Raw genomic sequence first — 18,288 nt, 5'->3', positions numbered from 1 at the left:
TGAGATCACGCCACTGCACTCCAGCCTGGGAGACAGAGCGAGACTCCGTCTTAAAAAAATAACAAAATAAAATAAAAATAAAAAAGGAAGAAAGCAAAAGTCCAGATACCTTTTCAAGTCAAAGGGCAGGGGCAGGAGATTGAGTTATTTTTTACCCTAAGATTTTTGTTTTCTTCATAAAATGGAAGGTCCAGTTGGCAGAGAGCCGTGGTGAGAATGGGACATAATGGGAGTGGAGAAGTTGAAAGAGCCCACTGAGATGTCAGTATTTTTAAATGGAATCTTGAGGAAGATGACTGGGTACACTGGGCACGTTCAGATGGAGGTGAGCTAGGTCATTAATTTTAGTAATTGGACCATCCCACTCAGGAGAATTTTCTCCTGAGTTACCTGATTAGTGATCAGATATGTGAATGGACATGTAGGTGGTTGAATTGATCCAGGGTTGGGGGTGTTCCTGGCAGATTCATCACAGGGACAAAAATCAGAAAATGAGCCCATTAAAAGCATACACACTTATGGAATCTCAATAAAATTCAAAGATGAGTGTGATGAGCGAGGGGGAGAGTCAGTCTGGTTGGATTTTTGTCCTCTCTCTTTCTCAATTACCCCTGCCACTTTCCATAAACCAAGTTTACTTGGCCAGGGACAGTGGTTCTTCTTGCCTGGTTACTACTGGCCCCTTTCTGAGAGTGGGATCCTGCTTCTATCATCTTTCACAGCCCATGGCTCAGGCACCACCTGATGCCCAGAACTCCTGCCACCCATAAGTCCCTTGTGTGCTCAGCCAGCACCTGGGGCCTAGAAACATGCATACTGCCTCCTTCCTGGAGCAAGTGAGCATTCACTGCATACACTGGGCCCAGTGTTTGGCCTCTTGGCTCCTTCCTAGGGGTGGCCATCTCTCCTCCCCAGGTTGGTCACTTCTCTGCCTTCCACATCTCATATGGTCAAGACATGATATCTTTGTGGGAGTTACAAAAGAGAGGGTCAGAAAGCATTACCCTTATTTTTATCTCACTAAAATATGTCACCTGGAAATGCCAGAAAGAAGAAAAATCACTGTCAAAGCATTTAGTCTCTTGCTTTTGGAGGTTAAAAAGATGATAGCACATTTGCAGATAATTCAGAGTGGCTGAAAAACAGTCATATATTTAAACATTGGTCATATATTCAAATTGTCTGGAATAATTCCAAGACAGCAGCTCACCCCTTCTCTACATTTTTGCCATGTTTTACTGGACCTGAGAGGGTCAAAGCCGGAGCTAACCTTGTATTTTATGGATGTCAACAGGCTGCCGGCACTCGGCTCTGGAGCATCATCCTGCTCTCTGCTTTATATGCAGGTCATATCTGAGAGCCATTCTGCGAGGCTGCTGCAGGGTTTCCATCTGTCTTGAGCACAGCAGAACTTCAGGGATCACAATAGGAGATTCACGTGCCCTGACAGGATTTTTATTCCACCTGCTGTTGATGGTTGATAAAGAAGGCAAAAGTGAAAATTCCATATATTTAGGCTATTTCTTTTCTCTATCCAGTATTCATTCAATAAATACATATTGATTACCTACTAAGTGCCAAACTCTGACGCTCTTAGGGGCAAAGGACATTATAGAGAACCCACATGTAGTCTAGTGGAGGTAGAAAAATAGTAATTAAATAATTTTCCAGACACATATAGAATTTCAACTATAATTAGTGCTGTGAAGAAAAAGTCCATTGTATTTTGAGAATATGTGAGAGGTACTCTGACTTTTTACGTGGGGACTAGGGAGGATTTCTTAGCGGAGGTGACTTTTGCATTGAGTTATGAACAATGGTTAGGAATTAAGCAAGTGTAGCAGAGAGGGAGGAATAGGCAAAGTCCCTGAGGAGAAAGGAAATGATCCAGGAGCTGAAGGATGGCTGTGGGCTTGAGTTCAGAGAGGAGTGAAGAGTGGGTCAAGATGAGTTCCCAAAAGGGGCCAGACCAAGCATGGTCTTTTACCCACAAGAAAATGGGAAGCCTTGAACATTCTTTAAACAAAGCAGTATGATGATTCAATTTATATTTGTGAAAAATGACTGAGTGGCTGCAGTCACAGAGGATGGATGCAAGGTGGGGAAAGTGAATATTAGGAGAGGAGTTAAGGGGCTACCTCAGTGGTCCACTAATAGTGGATAGAGGGTTGGATTATAGCTGTGGCTGTAGAGACCGAAAGATGGAGATGAACTCATGCTGCATTTTGGAGCTAGAACTAATAGGATATATTGATGGATTGAACATGCCCCACGGTAGAGAGAAATAAAGGAATGATGAATGATTGCTATGCTCTGCCTTGAGGGGATGCTGTGTGGATAGTGGTGACATTTACTGCTCAATTAGAAGACTAGGGGAGGAGCAACTTTGGTTAATTAGGTCCTAAAACTGATAGAACACAATAATGTAGATTTTTTCCATTCCATATGAAATTCAGAACTACTAACTTATTAATTTCTTAAAATTTAAGAACAAGTTATTCATGAAAAGTGTATTTGCAGGTCAGTTGATATCATCAGAAATACTTTGTAGTCAAAGATAGAATAACTCCATTTGCAGCAAGAGTCGTAATATTTATATGGAAATTTGTAAAAGAAAAATCAAGTAGAAGTGGGAATTTAAGGCTCCCAGCAATGGAGATATGTGTGTGTGTATTTTTTTTTTTTTTTTTGGCTCTGTGTAGGGGTATATGTGGGTAGATTATAGTCAACAGATGAGCTTATTTCCTTAGCTACCACATCCATAAATTTGCTATGGTCTTCCCCTACCTTAGTGTGTTACAAGCATAGTAGACCTTATCCGCCTGTGTAATGATAAATTGAGAGAGATTTTCTCCTTATTGGTTTTATGGATATTTCTTCTCTGTACAATCTGGAATAATGTTTTTTCTTTAAGTTATTGTAAATAACCATTTCAACTTCAATGACTGAGTATTCCAGCTATTATTTTTTCCTTCTAGTTCATTGCTATTGCTGTTTTGTGTTAGATGGGGCACTGGGTCCAATTATAGCTTTGCATTTAATTATAAACTTTGCATATGTGTGCATTAATTAGAAGATTTTATTGCTTTGTATTTTATGGCTGGAGGTTGTGAACTATAGCAATTCAATATACCACTTAAGGGGATAATACAAATTTAGAATAATAAAAAGTAATTTATAATGATCATCTCAGGCATCCGAAGTAGTACATAGAAAAATAATATAGCATAAATACAATATGCACAAGAGTCAAGTCTATTCTTATTTAATGAAGAACTTTAATCTGATAAGGAAGACAAAGATCTGGTACAATATATAATTGACACTCAATTAGACTGCAAATTTAAAAGCAGGACCTAAAAGTGTGATCTTAAAAGCATGTTTAGCTGTGTCTGCCCTGAGAATGAACTACCTAGGTAACTCTGGAAAAAGGTATTTTAACTAAATATTGTAAAGACAAAAATAACTGTATATAAGTAATGTATTTTAGTTAGTAGGTGTGTCTCTCACAGGGTCATGGGTTAGAAATCCTGAAATACTTTATGCGTATACTGGAGTTGAATAAACAAGTAAATATATCTACTTATGTAATAAATAGAATAAATCAGAAAGTAGATAATAAGCCAGATCTTTCACTATTGAAGACAGATGTTACAGATAAGGAAAGGGGTAAGGCTAAAATGAAACCTATGGTGTTGGACTAGAATCAGAGGTATCAGCATAAACTCATGGACTTTGATCTATATACAGATAGATAGGTACAAAAATATAGATATGTGTGTATGCATAGGTTAGTCTATAGATATGCATTCCCACCTCTCTCTGCTGAAAGGGTCTGCAAGCAATGACACTACTACAGCAATGAATACACCTGATGCCCAGATCTTGGTTTCTAAACACTGTTTTTCAATAAAGAAAACCAGAGCTTCATAAAGAAATGATAAATTCCTGGGTAGGCTGGGAAAATACAAAACTAACCTGGATCATCTTGTGGAGTAAGGAAGTGTGTAAAAAAGAAAGAGCTCTTTCTGGAAAGACACAGGTGTCAACCTAGAGTATCTCTTTTTGTTGTTGTTGTTGTTGTTGAGACTGAGTCTCCCTCTGTCACCAGGCTGGAGTGTAGTGACGCCATCTCGGCTCACTGCAACCTCCGACTCCCTGGTTCAAGTGATTCTCCTGCCTCAGCCTCCCGAGTAGCTGGGATTACAGGTATGCACCACCACGCCCAGCTAATTTTTGTATTTTTAGTAGAGACAGGGTTTCACCATGTTGGCCAGGATGGTCTCAATCTCCTGACCTCATGATCCACCCGCCTTGGCCTCCCAAAGTGCTGGGATTACAGGCGTGAGCCACTGTGCCCCAACTCAGAGTAGCTCTTAACAGTGGCCAAAGTTGGAACAATTTGAGCAAGAAAATAAATGATAGAAATATTAGATGATAATGAGGGTTTCCTCAGGGAGTGCCTAAAGAGGGTTAGCTTCTTTGAAAGGAGCTGGCCCCAGAGGCTATAAGGAATTCCAGGAAGAAGTTTGGAGGTCTAGGGATGGAAACTGGCAGAAGTCATTCAGGCTGTCCTTTGGTTGCTTGTTGGAGTGGAATCAGCTCCCCAGGGGAACAAAGCCTGTGGGAGATGGTGAGGGCAATGACGAAGTGAAGTGAGGATTCTGAAGGAAGCAAGCCTTACTTAGGCAAAGTGGCTTGCAAGGGGAAGAGTACCCTGGAGCCTGGGTTAGGTTGGGTCATATTATGTTGGTGCAAAAGTAATTGCGGTTTTTGCCATTGAAGTAATGCCCCAAACTGTAATTACTTTTGCAGCTACCTAATATGTATGTAGCAAGACCCTCCCATGCTAATGATTCAGGATAAACAGACCAAATGTTCCCCTTGTTTTCTTCTCAAAGGTAAAGAAAGGTCTTCGGAAGGAGAATGGAAAGAGATTTCTAGGATTGACATCAACCGGGCACCCGATCTACATCTCTCTGCAGTGAACATATTGGTTCTTCTCTGAGGGAGGGGTGTAGGAGGAGATCTTAAAAGACCTGGTGATCCCCTACCTTCAGGCTCTCAAAAACCTTCAGAGCAGAATATGCTGGGAAATATTATGGATTATGCCATAAATGTCTGATGTTCATTATGAAGCTTGCTGCCTTTCCCAAGTGTTGCTCAGGTGCCTCCAGCTGGGGTGCTTTGAATAGCCTGATATCAGCCTAATGGCTTTCCTTAGGCCCTTTTACTGCTTCCATTAATTTCTTTAGTAGGTTATTTCCAGGAAAACCCCACCTTCCCCCCCTCCCAGCTACTTAGAGGCTGAGGTAATCCTCCTGTCTCAGCCTCTGAGTAGCTGGGACTACAAGTATATGCCTCCACGCCCAGCTAATTTTTAAAATTTTTCATAGAGATGGGGGTCTCCCTATGTTGCCCAGTCTGGTCTTGAACTCCCGGCCTCAAGTGATCCTCTAGCCTCAGCCTCCCAAAGTGTTGGGATTACAGGCATGAGCCACTTTGTCTGGCTGAGAAACCCCCTTCTTATTAGCATGCAAACTTTAGGTAAATTGTTTCCTCAGAATTCTAAGAGTAAGTTATATAAAGTATTACAACTATTGGAATAGCAAAGATTAAATAAAACCACTGGACTTGATCAGTAATCATTCCTTCTACCCTAAATGATGATAGCATAAATAGAGCTCTGAAAAATAGTTTCTATCTGTCTAGTTTGGACCAGGACTCCTTGGAAGAAAAGACAACCTGAGACCTGTAAGCCCCTCTAAGATTTGACATGCCTGTCTGTCAATATTGGTGATGGTCGTGGTGGGAAATGAAGAGTGAGGATGTAGGTTGCCTATGTAGCATTTACTCCCCACACCTTCTCATAACATTAACTCAATTTTGTTCTGTAATTCACCCTCCCCACCACAGCCATATGACTTAGGAGAAGTGGATCTTACTTTTTGCACCAAGGGCTTGATTAGTTTAAGGGTTATAACTCATTCAATTATGTAACAATATCAAGAGACCCTTATTATGTGACACATACTGTTTTATGCGAATAAAACAACCCTGGATCCCTAACACAATGAAACTGACATTCTCATGTGTGTGGAAGAAAAAGTACAAATAACAAAGCAAATCGTGTGCTGATAAAAACTAAGGAGAAAAACCTGGCCTTAGCAGGGGCAGAAGGGAATGCTGGGAGATGTTGTCGGGAGCGCTTGCCGTTTTAAAAGGGTGATCAAGGGATCAAGGAAAGGCCTTGATGAAGTGACATGTTCTCATTCCCTTGCCTTGCTTTAAAATTAGGTCAATTCTGCCAATGAAACCAGAGGGAAGTCTACCGGGGGAACTTGTAGGAAAACGTTTCCTCACAACAAAGATAGAGGCACAGGAAGAGACAATCGCCCTTCTTCCTCTGGATGTTATTTTAATTGGATGTGATGCCAGAAAGAGCTGCAGACACCTTGCTCCCTACTTGAGACACAAGAATGTCAGGGTGGAGAGAGAGAATGAAACTGGGACCTTGATTATTTTTCTGAGCCACAGAGTTAACTAACCCTGAAGTCTGATCCGTGTCCATGCTTCTTGTAATGTGAAATAGTAATTTTTCATATTGTGTGTGCCAGTTTAAATCGGTTTCTTTTTCTTGCAGCTGAAGGCATCCTAACTGATATAGAATGGGTCTTGGTAGCTTTAATAGGCTACGATAAATCAGTTTGCAAAATTCCATGTAGATAGGAGTAGAAACTTATGATACTCGTTATAACACTGGCACTTCCCTTGTACACACTATTAGATGTTAGCCTAGCAGCATCTTAGAGCTTGAAGCAGCAGGGATAGAAAAATGACTACCTGTTAAAACTCATTTTCCTAAGACAATGACATAAAGGATTCTAGACACTATTCTTGAAAACCTTATATTCAGGTGCTCATAGTCCACATGTCCTAATTTGCAACTATGTATGGAGAAGAGCTGTACAGATGCAAGGACACATGGGTGAAGACTACTCCACAGAAAATAAGAGCAGCAATTTTAGACTATTGGGGCTGCTCTATGGTGGTTGTGGAGGGGATTGGGCCACATCGAGTTTGTAGTTAGCTTTGTAAAAATCCCCATTGTAATGGAGAGTTGGTGAGAACTAGAATCTGTGATTTCTTCCTTTTTCTCTGTTCTTTTTTTTTTTTTTTTTTTTTTTTGAGACAGGGTCTTGCTCTGTTGCCCAGGCTGGAATACAGTGGCATGATCACGACTCACTATTGCCTTGACCTCTTGGGCTCAAGAGAGCTTCCTGCCTCAGCCACCTGAGCAGCTGGGACTACGGGTACATGTCACCACACCTGGCTATTTTCAAAAATTCTTTTGAAAGCAAGGGGTCTCACTATGTTGCCCAGGCTGGTCTCAAATTCCTCAGCTCAAGTGATCCTCTTGCCTCAGCCTCCCAAAGTGTGCTGGGATTACAGACATGAGCCACCACTGCCAGGCAGTCTCTGATTTCATTGCCACAAGTTGCCAACTATTGTAGTCAGAATAATGTATCCCTTCTTTTTTCAAAATATCCACATCCTCATCCCTAGATCCTATGAATGTGCTATGTTATGTGGCAAAAGGGGCTTTTTACAGATGGGATCAAGGTTATGGATCTGGAGATAGGGAGATCATCCTGGATTATCAGGGTGGGCCGCATCTAATCACATAAACCCTTAAAAGCAGAGAAATTTTGCTCACTGGAGTCGGAGAAATGTGATAAATGAAGAGGCAGGAGAGATTTGAAACATGAGAGGGACTTGACCTACCTTGCTGGCTTTGAAGATGGAAGAAAGGAACTAACAGCTGAGACATGTGGGTGTTCCCTGGAGGCTGGGAACACCCCTTAGCTCACAGCCAGCAAGAAAACAGAGCTCTCCATCCTACAGCAGCAAGAAAATAAATTCTACCAACAATCTGAATAGCAAGGAAACTGATTCAGAGCCTACAGGAAGGAACACAGTCCTGCCGACACTTTGATTTTAACCTGGTGAGATCCGTGTCAAGCTTCTGACCTACAGACCTTGGAGATAATAAATGTGCATGCTGTTTTAAGTTGCAAAGTTTATGGTAATTTGTTATCATAGCAAGAGAAAATGAATATGCTCACCCAGCAGAGAGTGGTGTCTTGAGTGGATGAGGCACCAGACTGAACTACCAGCTGGTTGGAGAGGGTAGGCCAGAGTTGAATAAAGGAGTGCCGCTTTGAAGCAGCCCAAGTAAGCAAGAGACAAAGAAGATAGTCTGAGTATTAGGGTAGAGAAAACATGGGAAGTGGGTAGGTGGTATACCAGTTGCCTCATGTATGTAACAAACTACCTTAAAACTTCATGGTTTAAAACAATAGCAATATTCTGTGGGTCCACAGTTGGGACTGGTCTCAGCTGTGTGGCTCTTCTGCTGATCTCTGTTGGAGTCTCTCATGCATGTGTGGTGGCTGGCAGTCAGCTAGGCAGCTGCTTCTGGGGTTTGACTTGATGAGCTGACTGGCCATGTTATCGCCCCATCCAGCAGATTAGCCCAGACTTAGTTGCTGGCAGGACTCTCAAGAGCAGCAAGAGACATTTTCCAAGTCTTTGCTTATATCGTGTTTGCTACTGCCCCTTGGCCAAAGTCACATGATTGGCCCAGCGTCAGTATATTAGTTTCCCTGGGCTGCCATAACAAAATACCCTAAGTTAGGTGGCTTAAACAACAGAAATTTGTTTCCTCATGGTTCTAGAATCTGAAAGTCAAAGATCAAGGTGTCTGGGGCTTGTTTCCTCTGAAGCCTATCTTGTTGGCTTGCATATGGCTGCCCTCTTGCTGCCTCTTCACATGGTCTTTTCTCTATGTTTGCATCTCTGGTGTCTCTTCCTCTTCTTATAAGGACACTGGTTATGTTGGATTAGGGGTTATGGCCTCATTGTTAACTTAATCATCCCTCTAAAGACCTTATCTGCAAATATGGTTACATTCTGAAGTACTAAGGGTTAGGCCTTCAGCATATGAATTTTGGGAGGATGCAATTCAGCCCATAACCGTCAGTATGGAAGAAAACTCCCCGGGGCCTGGAGAGTGGGAGGCATGAACAAATGAGGGAGCTGCTGCTCTAAGAATCTACCACAGATAGTTATGGAAGTGTAGAAAACTAAATAAAACCCACAGTATTTCCCACAGCTGACTTTATTTAAGATACAGTGTCTTAGAGAAGAGATCCCCAAATTGTGGCTGTGGGCTAAATGTGACACCCAACCTATATTTGTAGATAACGTTTCTTGGGACTCAGCCATGCCCATTTATTTGTGTGTTGTCTGTGGCTGCTGTCACGCTATAACCTCAGCGTTCAGTAGTTGTGATGGAAACTGTATGGTCTGCAAACTTTTAATCTATTTACTATCTGTCCTCTTACAGAAAAATTTTTCTGACCCCAGTGTTAGAGGATTCTAAGAAAGCTATGAATCGGGTGGTGAAAGGGTAAAATAAAATAACCAGACAACTACCAGCAGGAGACATACGGTCTAAGGGAGGCAAGGAATGTGGCAGGCATGATTCTCCTTGCTCATTTTATGAAAACAAATGACCAGATAAGCAACAGTCCTGGAATTGTTACACAGATGGGTCCTGATGGTGCCGCTTATGCAGCTCGCTGAAACTCTTTCTCAGAGGGTTGTTTTACACAGCCTTGGCCTCCCACCCATCTGCTGCCACACCTCTCAGTCCTTTCAAGTATTATCTAGAGAGATCCAATTGTCAGACACTGAGAACAAAGCATGAGTCTCAGCTTTATTAGGGATTTCCCCTCCTATAATATTTCATACAAAGCCTCATTCACACCCAATATGAAGGCAGTGCTGCTTTTAAAAACCATTTCACATTTTTAAACCAATTCTGTTAAGCATGACTTCAGCTGTCACTTCTTGTTATTTTTGGAGAAGCTTGATGCTCGAAGGTTTGAAACGTCCCGTCCATTTGTTCAGTGGGCTTCTGATAACTATCCCTGCCCACTGGGTATGAAGTTGACACTAATTAAGCAGCTGACTGCCTTAACGATAGAGTATATTAGAACAGGCCACGATGCCATGTAGTTATAATTGTTCTTACAATGTCTGGATACTTGGTGCTTACTATTCTAGAAAACCCAGGACTTCCAAACTGGTGAGATTTTATTATTGCTGCAAATGATGAGTGCAGAGAGAATTTGGGAATGAATGAATGTTGATAGTGGGCTCAAGGCTGTCCGCACTGCAGACGTAGTCTGTAAACCCCCTAGAATCAAGAGAGAAGCAGGCTTTTTAAACCCTTGCTACATAAGCCTTGTTATCGCTCAAATAGACCACTTGAGATGGAAGTACAGACAGATTTGGTGCTGATGACAGCTCACCAGGACCCAGCTCTCCATTCAGGTACATTGATATGCATATTCACTCTACTGGAAAAAAAATCATCTCCTCTTCTACCCTGGGACACGGCTTTTGTAGGCTCCGGAATCTGCTATTTTATACCCACCTGCTGGTACAATATAAGCAGCTGCAATAGGCATCAAGCTATGAAAAGCTCTGAGGAGCACTATTGCAGTGCGAATTGCTTCCTTGCTCTGCACTGTTTGGTGATTGTAAGATGGATTGCCAGATTAGCACAGACACACAGTATTTGTGTAGGTAACTGGGAGGGTGATTTTTCCCTGCTTCTCCTACCAGCTATTTCTTACCAGTCCCTTTGCCACCTATAAAAAATTGGGTATTTGCTAATGTTTCTTAGTGGAAATTCAAAGGCCGGAATCACTAACTCAAGCCCACAGTAATACCACTCTGTTTCTTTCTGCCCTCAAACTGCCACATAAGAGCCTCTGATGCTACTGGCCAAAGAGGCCACTAGCCTATGCAATTGCTGGCTCACAGAAGCTTCCAGGACAGCAATTCTCTGTTCTTAATGTTTTATGTCACCAACTAACTAAACATAGCCACCTTTCCCAAATGCAGAAAGTTGTTTCCAAAACACAAAAAGTTGACCCCCCAAAAAAAAAAAAAGTTACAGATAACTCAGAGGTGTGGAGGCTGTCTCATGCTTTGGGAGACTTGTGCAGCCGTGTGGGTAATCTATGTTAACATCTTGTCTTCAAGATGCTGACCTCACTTTGGTTCAGACATTCTAGGAAAGGATTCATTTCTTCTCCATTTCAAAGCTGTTTATCTGGCTTAGAAAATAGCTGTTTTAAACAGAAGCCTTTACACTTGTCTGAGTAAATTCTGTTCCAATTTTTGTTTTGGCCATAAGTCAAAGATAACAGCTGTGCGCTTGTGGGTTCACTGAACTCTACGTGCTTGTTGGCTGCATCACCGACCAGAGGGAATAACCAATAATTAGAACATTTCAGGTCATCTTGGGAAGAACAGAGTTTTCTCTTGTTTGGAAAGGTGGTGTGACCTCCCTCTGATTTTCCCAAATGTGGATCTTTTGGTGACTGAGTGTAGAGCTCAATATACAAGCCTGGACTCATCACCACTGTGTCCTCCCTTTCCCAAAATATTGCCTGATAAATGGAAGCTTAAAACCATATTTACTGTTTTTCAGCTTAACTCTTGCTCTGCAACAGGCCTGGGCCATGATAATAAGCAAAAATACTTGTGCATTCCTAGCACATCAGCATTTCTGATCACAATGATTTGTGACTCAGGCCTTGAAAGCTGTGGGGTTTCTCCCTAGTTGAATCAATACAAGTTTACATAAATATATGTTTCTGTTTTTCTTTCATTCTTGATTCAGCATTCATGTTTACTATCTGGTAACTACAGACAGTGGGAGCATGGGGGCAAGGGAGAAGTCGAGCAAATAGAGAGATGATTCAGAAGAAATTATTTGGGTGGGTTCTAATGTCTTAACTGATTATGACTTTTTTTCTTGTGAAGAGTAATGTGTTAGAATTTTCATTTCAAAAGATAAAATTTATTCTATATATCTAAAGAATATAACTGCTCATCTATTACACTGAGTATATACTACTATAGCCATGCCTACAGTAGGAAGTGTTCTTGTATCAGGGTATTTGGTGTGCTAGATAGAGCCTTTCATATTGGAGATATGTATCCTAAAGCATTATTAATCCAATAGTGACATAGAGGCTGGATTGCTACTGATGCAAGCAGTATTTGTTCTATATTTAAAATCTTCCTGAGTCAAGGAGACAAAGTTGGCAAGAGATATGGTGATTGTTTTTTGCTCAGTTTTATGTCATGACAGGGAAACCTTTCACTTTCACTTGAATAACCACAAGGATGAAGGAGAGGCCACCTTTTCAAAGATTCACCTGCAAGACAGTTTCTGTTATTAAGCAAGGACTCATTACTGATCTGCTCTCACTCTGCTGTAGAATGTGGCCTGGGCTGCTTTCGGTGACTGAATTGTTTGTGAAATGTAAAAATGCACCTGGCTGAGGTAGAACATGGGGTCTGAAATTTAGACCCCCCTACTTCTGTTCAACAAACTCTTGGCCCACAGGGCTGCTCAGGGTTGGAGTGGGAAGACAACAGGTTTTTCCTAGATTGCCCACATTTTCCATATTGACTAATGGCATCTCTGAGCATGTTTAGGCTTCTTGGTGTCAGTTTGAACCCAAGACATTTTACTTTAATCATCCCTGATTTCCTTACCCTTAAATCCTGTTTCAATATGGAAATAAATGAATTATTGATAAATGAAAGTAAATCAATAATTATTGGTTAATATGGATACATTTTCTGTGACTGGTTTCACTTAGGTAAAGGCTGCCTAGATATAGAGATTTCTGTGGAATATCCACATATTTTTCATTTATTTTGTTAGGAAGACTTTAAATAACATTTTATATTCAAAGGGAAAAATTATAACTAATTTGAAGTTTATGTGATTATATTCTATCAAGCTGTTAGTCAGTATAGGATCGTTTAAATAGATTCTTGAAGTGTGACCTGGGTTAGGATGGATATTGATTGGTAACAAAAAATCTTGCCCAGGAAGTCATGATAAGAAAATATCAGTAGTTGGCTGGGCGCAGTGGCTCATGCCTGTAATCCCAGCACTTTGGGAGGCCAAGGCGGGCGGATCACCTGAAGTTGGGAGTTCGAGACCAGCCCGACCAACATGAAGAAACCCGTCTCTACTAAAAATATATAATTAACCAGGCGTGGTGGCGGGTGCCTGTAATCCCAGTTACTCAGGAGGCTGAGGCGGAGAATCCCTTGACACCCGGGAGGCGGAGGTTGTGGTGAGCTGAGATCGTGCCATTGCACTCCAGCCTGGGCAACAAGAGTGAAACTTCATCTCAAAAAAAAAAAAAAAAGAAAAGAAAAACAAAATCAGTAGCATACTCCCATCCCTGAAGGTATGTATTCAAAGTGCTGTGCCCACCACAGCCATTGTGTCCCTGCAGGCAGCTTCCTAAACTGGTCCTAAGAAGGACTCTGAATAAGCCGGAACTGTTTAAAACTTTCTCCAAAGATGGAATGTGTGAGTTCAACTAGAGGAGACTGAGAAACACTCATCTTCCTGAAACAAGACAAAAATATGTCGCCACACTTCTGGGTCACATTTCCTGTCTGCTTGGAGCATCCCTCTAGGATTGAAGGAACAAAGAGGGGTGGTAGGGAAAATCCATTGAATCTCAGAGATGCCTGTGCTTGCAAATTATTTTCAGTGTGAAGATTTAGAATCTGGGGAAAGACAGGAAAGTGTGCAGCAGGGATTTTTTTTTCCACCTCAGCATTTCTTGCAATGGACTGATTGGTGTGAGAAATTAGCTGTCCTGCTGAGAGTTAGGTGTAGCATCATAAAGAGTACTTCAGGGAAGCCTTTGTTTCTAGCATATTGGTCTTTAAACTGTGGGCCCTCTCCAGTAGTTTTCCTGATTACCTTCATCATGTTGTCACACAGGGGGTGTAGAAAACAGATTGCAGATCTCTATCTACTAATACACTTAATCTGATTAATTTTTATGCTAGTGCCTTTTCTCTTTTATTCCTCAAAGTGCCTTTTCTCTTTTATTCCTCAAAGTGCCTTTATCTCCTTCATCTGTGACACTACCACATAGGTGCTCATTTAACAATGAAAAAGAGCCTCCAGAATGTCTCCTTCTGTTGTGTGAACTTAAATAAATCTAATGATTTTAGCAGAACAGATCCCCTCCTAACACACAGGAATAAATCATGATTCAGTTTTCTAGGGACCAAAAAAGAAAACCGTAGACTTTTCTATTAAAGAAACAAGCCAATTTTCTTACACTTCTGAAGCTAGATATTATTAGTGATTATTACTATTATTATACTCATTTAATTCCTATATTGAAGCCATTTTTTCTGACCTATCTACATTTAGAAAAACACACATTTGGGGAAAGAATAAATCAGTAGATATGGTATAGGAGCAGTGGCTTAATGACAGAACTAATTCCCCACTTCCCACTAGTCTTTTTACCTTAAGCCATTAGTCCCTTAACAGTGTTTAGTAAGGGCTGTCTGTAGCTTAAGGAAAGAAGGAAAGAAATGAATACAGTCGGCCCTCTGTACCCATGGGTTCCACACCACGGATTCAACAAACTGCAGATCAAAAACATTTGAAAAAAATGTATCAGTATTGAACATGTACAGATTTTTTGTCATTATTCACTATACAACAACTCTTTATATAGCATTTACATTGTATTTGGTATTATAAGTAATCTAGAGATGATGTGAAGTATATAGGAGGATGTGCATAGGTTATATGCAAATCCTACACCCCTTTACATCAGGGACTCTAGCATCGCTGATTTTGGGATCTGAGGGAGGTTCTGGAACCAATCCATACAGATATCAAGGGATGACTGTATTTTTAAACTATCTACTGTATGTCAGGCACTGTGCTAGCTCCTTTTTATTTGTTCTGTCATTTAATAAAAAGGAGCTCATCATGATACTGTGAGGTGGGCAGTGGTTTTATTTTTCAGATGAGGGAACTGAGTGAAATAGAAGTGGGGGCCAGAAGAAAGGGGCCCTGGGGTTTCTGTTGTTGATCATTTGGCTTTTGAGTTAAACAGGCTTTCTGTTCTTGGAATTATGAAAGGGGCACAGCAGAGCTCTTGTAGCATGGCCAGAAGCTGTTCCTGCTGGGAGGCTACAGGTGCACAGTTGGATTCTTCTGGAATGAGTCCTTTCTGAGCCTCACTGGAATGATTTGCTGGGGCAAGCACAAGATGTGAGAGCAGATCATGGGACATGTTTCTGCTTTGGGCGGATAATGATATGGCCCCACCCAACTCCAAAGAGGTCAAATACCATATGAATAATAAGGACTGACACCTACTAAACACACTGAACCAGGCACTATCCTAATAACTTAATGGGTATCAATTCATTTAACCCTCAGAACCATATAAGGTAGATGTTAATATTATTCCTACTTTATAGAAGGGAAAACTGAGGTAGTGGTTGAGTAGCACAGAGATTAAGTAACTTGTCAAGGGTCACAAAACTCGTAAATAGTGAAATTGGGGTCTGATCCAAGGGAGGCTGGCTTCAGAGTCATTGCTGTTTAAAACTTTTACTTACTGCCTTTAACCCATTCCCTTCAGAATTGTCCTTTGCTAAGCTGACTTTTTGGGACAAGGCTTCTGTCCCTGTTCACCTCCTCCTTCTCAGTTGCTTTCTTCTGACTTACTTTCATTCTGGGGGAATCTTTTTCTCTTAGAGGAACTTCAGCTCTCTTGAAATTGTGTTTTTCTTTGTTCTTGCAGAGTGGATGGCCCATTATACTCAGAACCCTTGGCATCCAAATTGTCAGCAACTCATCAGCTAGTGTTTCTTCCTTGAAGGGCGAAGTCTCAATCCTCAAATGTTCTAGGAGGTGAGTAGAAATTTTTGCCTTCCATCGTTTTAATGTAGCAAAGCAAAAAACAGCTGAAAAGGGTAGTTCACGAAACTATCATAGCATCTTAGGCTCTGATGTCAGCCTGGGTTTATGTCTCCACTATTCCATTCTACATAACTAGCTGGCTCAATATATAACCAGTACAAATCCTTGGTTTGTCCACTGTAAATCAGCTTTACTTTCTAGTTCACTGAGTGGTTATCAGAATCAATGGAAATGGTGTGTAGAAAGTGCTCATCACTATACCTGGTAGCTATAAGCTTTTAACAAAAGATATTTTCATTAGTTGTGATGATGATAATTATTAAAGCTCTGGATGACTAATGAACTGGCTAAGGTTATTGCATTTTAACTCTGCAAATGCATGGAAAACACTCCCCGTGACTGGGAATATCTTAAATCAGTGCGGGACTTGCCATATTCTGATGGCTCTTTATAACATGTTAAGGTGGCCTTACCTAATTTCAGATTTCACTCAAGATCTGTTATGAGAGGCTGGGAGGAGACTTTTATAAAGCTGTATTCAAAAGCAATTATATTATTTTCAGTGTATTTTTAAAAGATTCAGAAAGAATGAATTATTTTCCAGAAGTAAGATTTTTAAAAATTCATTGATAATATATAAGGCCGGGCATGGTGGCTCACGCCTGTAATCCCAGAACTTTGGGAGGCCAAGGCGGGCAGATCATGAGGTCGGGAGTTCAAGACCAGCCTGGCCAACATAGTGAAACCCCGTCTCTACTAAAAATACAAAGAATTAGCCGGGCATGGTGGCAGGCACCTGTAATCCCAGCTACTCGGGAGGCTGAGGCAGGAGAATTGCTTGAACTCAGTAGGCAGAGGTTGCAGTGAGCCAAGATCATGCCATTGCACTCTAGCCTGGGTGACAGTGAGATTCCATCTCAAAAAAAAAATTAATAATAATAAAAAGAAAAAATAAAAAAGATAATATACAAGAAGTCAAATATATAAAGAGTCAAATATGTAGAAAGGGGAATGAGGAGAAGAGAGGTTGATAAACTGAATTAACAACTCAGCCATTTAGATTGAAAATAGCAAAATCTGAAAGTAGGGTCATGGTTTGGTGCCAGACAAAAGACCATCCCAGTTTCTAGTTGTGCATCTTTTCAAGTAAGATAGTAACAGGAAGAAAGGGTAAAGAGAGGGAACTGAGTTGACTGTCCTGAACAGGAGAGGAGGTAATGCTCTGTACATTGTTTTCTTTTTGAAACAAAGTCACAAAACAAGCAAACACACAAACACGTTAGTGGCAAAGGCATATAAATGCTGGCCCAAAGGGCCTTAAAACAATACAGACACAAATTCCATATCTGACCAACTATATTGGGAAGAGTGGCAAATTCTCATTTCACAGATAAAATATCTTCCCAGACATGGGCAATAACCAAGCACACAGGGTAGGAGTCTTGACCCTATGAGTCAGAGCAAACCTACAAGCTAAGAACAGATCAAGTGGTAACTAATAAAAAGCAAGGATTATAAACAAAGAGGCAGCCTCTGAGATGTTCAGTAATTCTGTTTTCAGTCTTTCAGTAAACAAATCTTTCTCGGGCATCTATTCTACATCAAGCACTGGACAAAGCATGATGATAAAGATTTCAGAATAATCCCTAACCTCAGAGAGCAGGCAAGTTAGTTTCTGCCAATCTTGCTTTAAACGGGATTTTCCATAAGCCTAATATGTAGACAAAGGTCTAATTTTCAGTTAAGATTCATTGTTATATAAAAGTAATGGCCATTTTTTCATAAGGAAATTTGTAGTACTTAAATTATGTGTGATAATTTTTGAAATCTTAGAGAAACATACTTAGCTAAAGTTTCTAAGGGATCGGCACATGCCTAATGATGGACACTCTAATTTTAGGCACAAAACGGTTATGAGGATTTAACCATTTTCTAGAAAGTATATATGAAAATTGACTTATGGGCTCCAATTCTTTATCCTGTCTGGTATCCACATCGCTTGCTGTGGGACTTTGTAGCCTGTCCCCCTAGTGGGGAATGCTACTTGATTACTTGATGTCAGTCTCAGCCAGGTAGTTTGTATTGGATTTTGGCACAATTGCTTGAACTGTGCTCAGATGTTGGCCTTGACTGCTTGCACATCTGCTGTTTAACAAAAGAAGAGCCAGCTCTAAGGCATAAAATACACAAGGATTAGCCCCATACCAGCCTTCATGGAGGTAAGTCCAGCTTAGCACCACCCAGATCAACTGATTCCAAGCTGGCCAGCAGAGACACATGTATGAGAATTCATGAATATTGGCTTGGAGTGGCATATTACATGGCAATAGTCGACTGATACAATGTCCCTTGTGATATAGTTTGGATGTTTGTCCCCTCCAGGTCTTATGTTAAAATATGATCCCCAATGTTGGAGGTGGGCCTAGTGG

General features: G+C 41.0%; 1 long non-coding RNA gene across 1 annotated transcript in view; it reads left to right on the top strand.

Annotated features, from left to right (window-relative positions):
• LOC107984625 (uncharacterized) overlaps window positions 1-15,898 on the top strand; it is a 98,066-nt gene extending 82,168 nt beyond the window's left edge. Inside the window, exon 5 of the long non-coding RNA XR_001749886.2 lies at window positions 15,741-15,898. This is a non-coding gene — a long non-coding RNA (uncharacterized LOC107984625). The remainder of the gene's footprint in view (window positions 1-15,740) is intronic.
• The last annotated feature ends 2,390 nt before the right edge of the window (window positions 15,899-18,288 follow it).

This window comes from Homo sapiens, chromosome 13 (assembly GCF_000001405.40).
Source record: "Homo sapiens chromosome 13, GRCh38.p14 Primary Assembly".
Classification (NCBI taxonomy): Eukaryota; Metazoa; Chordata; class Mammalia; order Primates; family Hominidae; genus Homo; species Homo sapiens.
The sequence above is the reverse complement of the archived record's forward strand: the minus strand, read 5'-3'. Positions and strand labels throughout refer to the sequence as shown.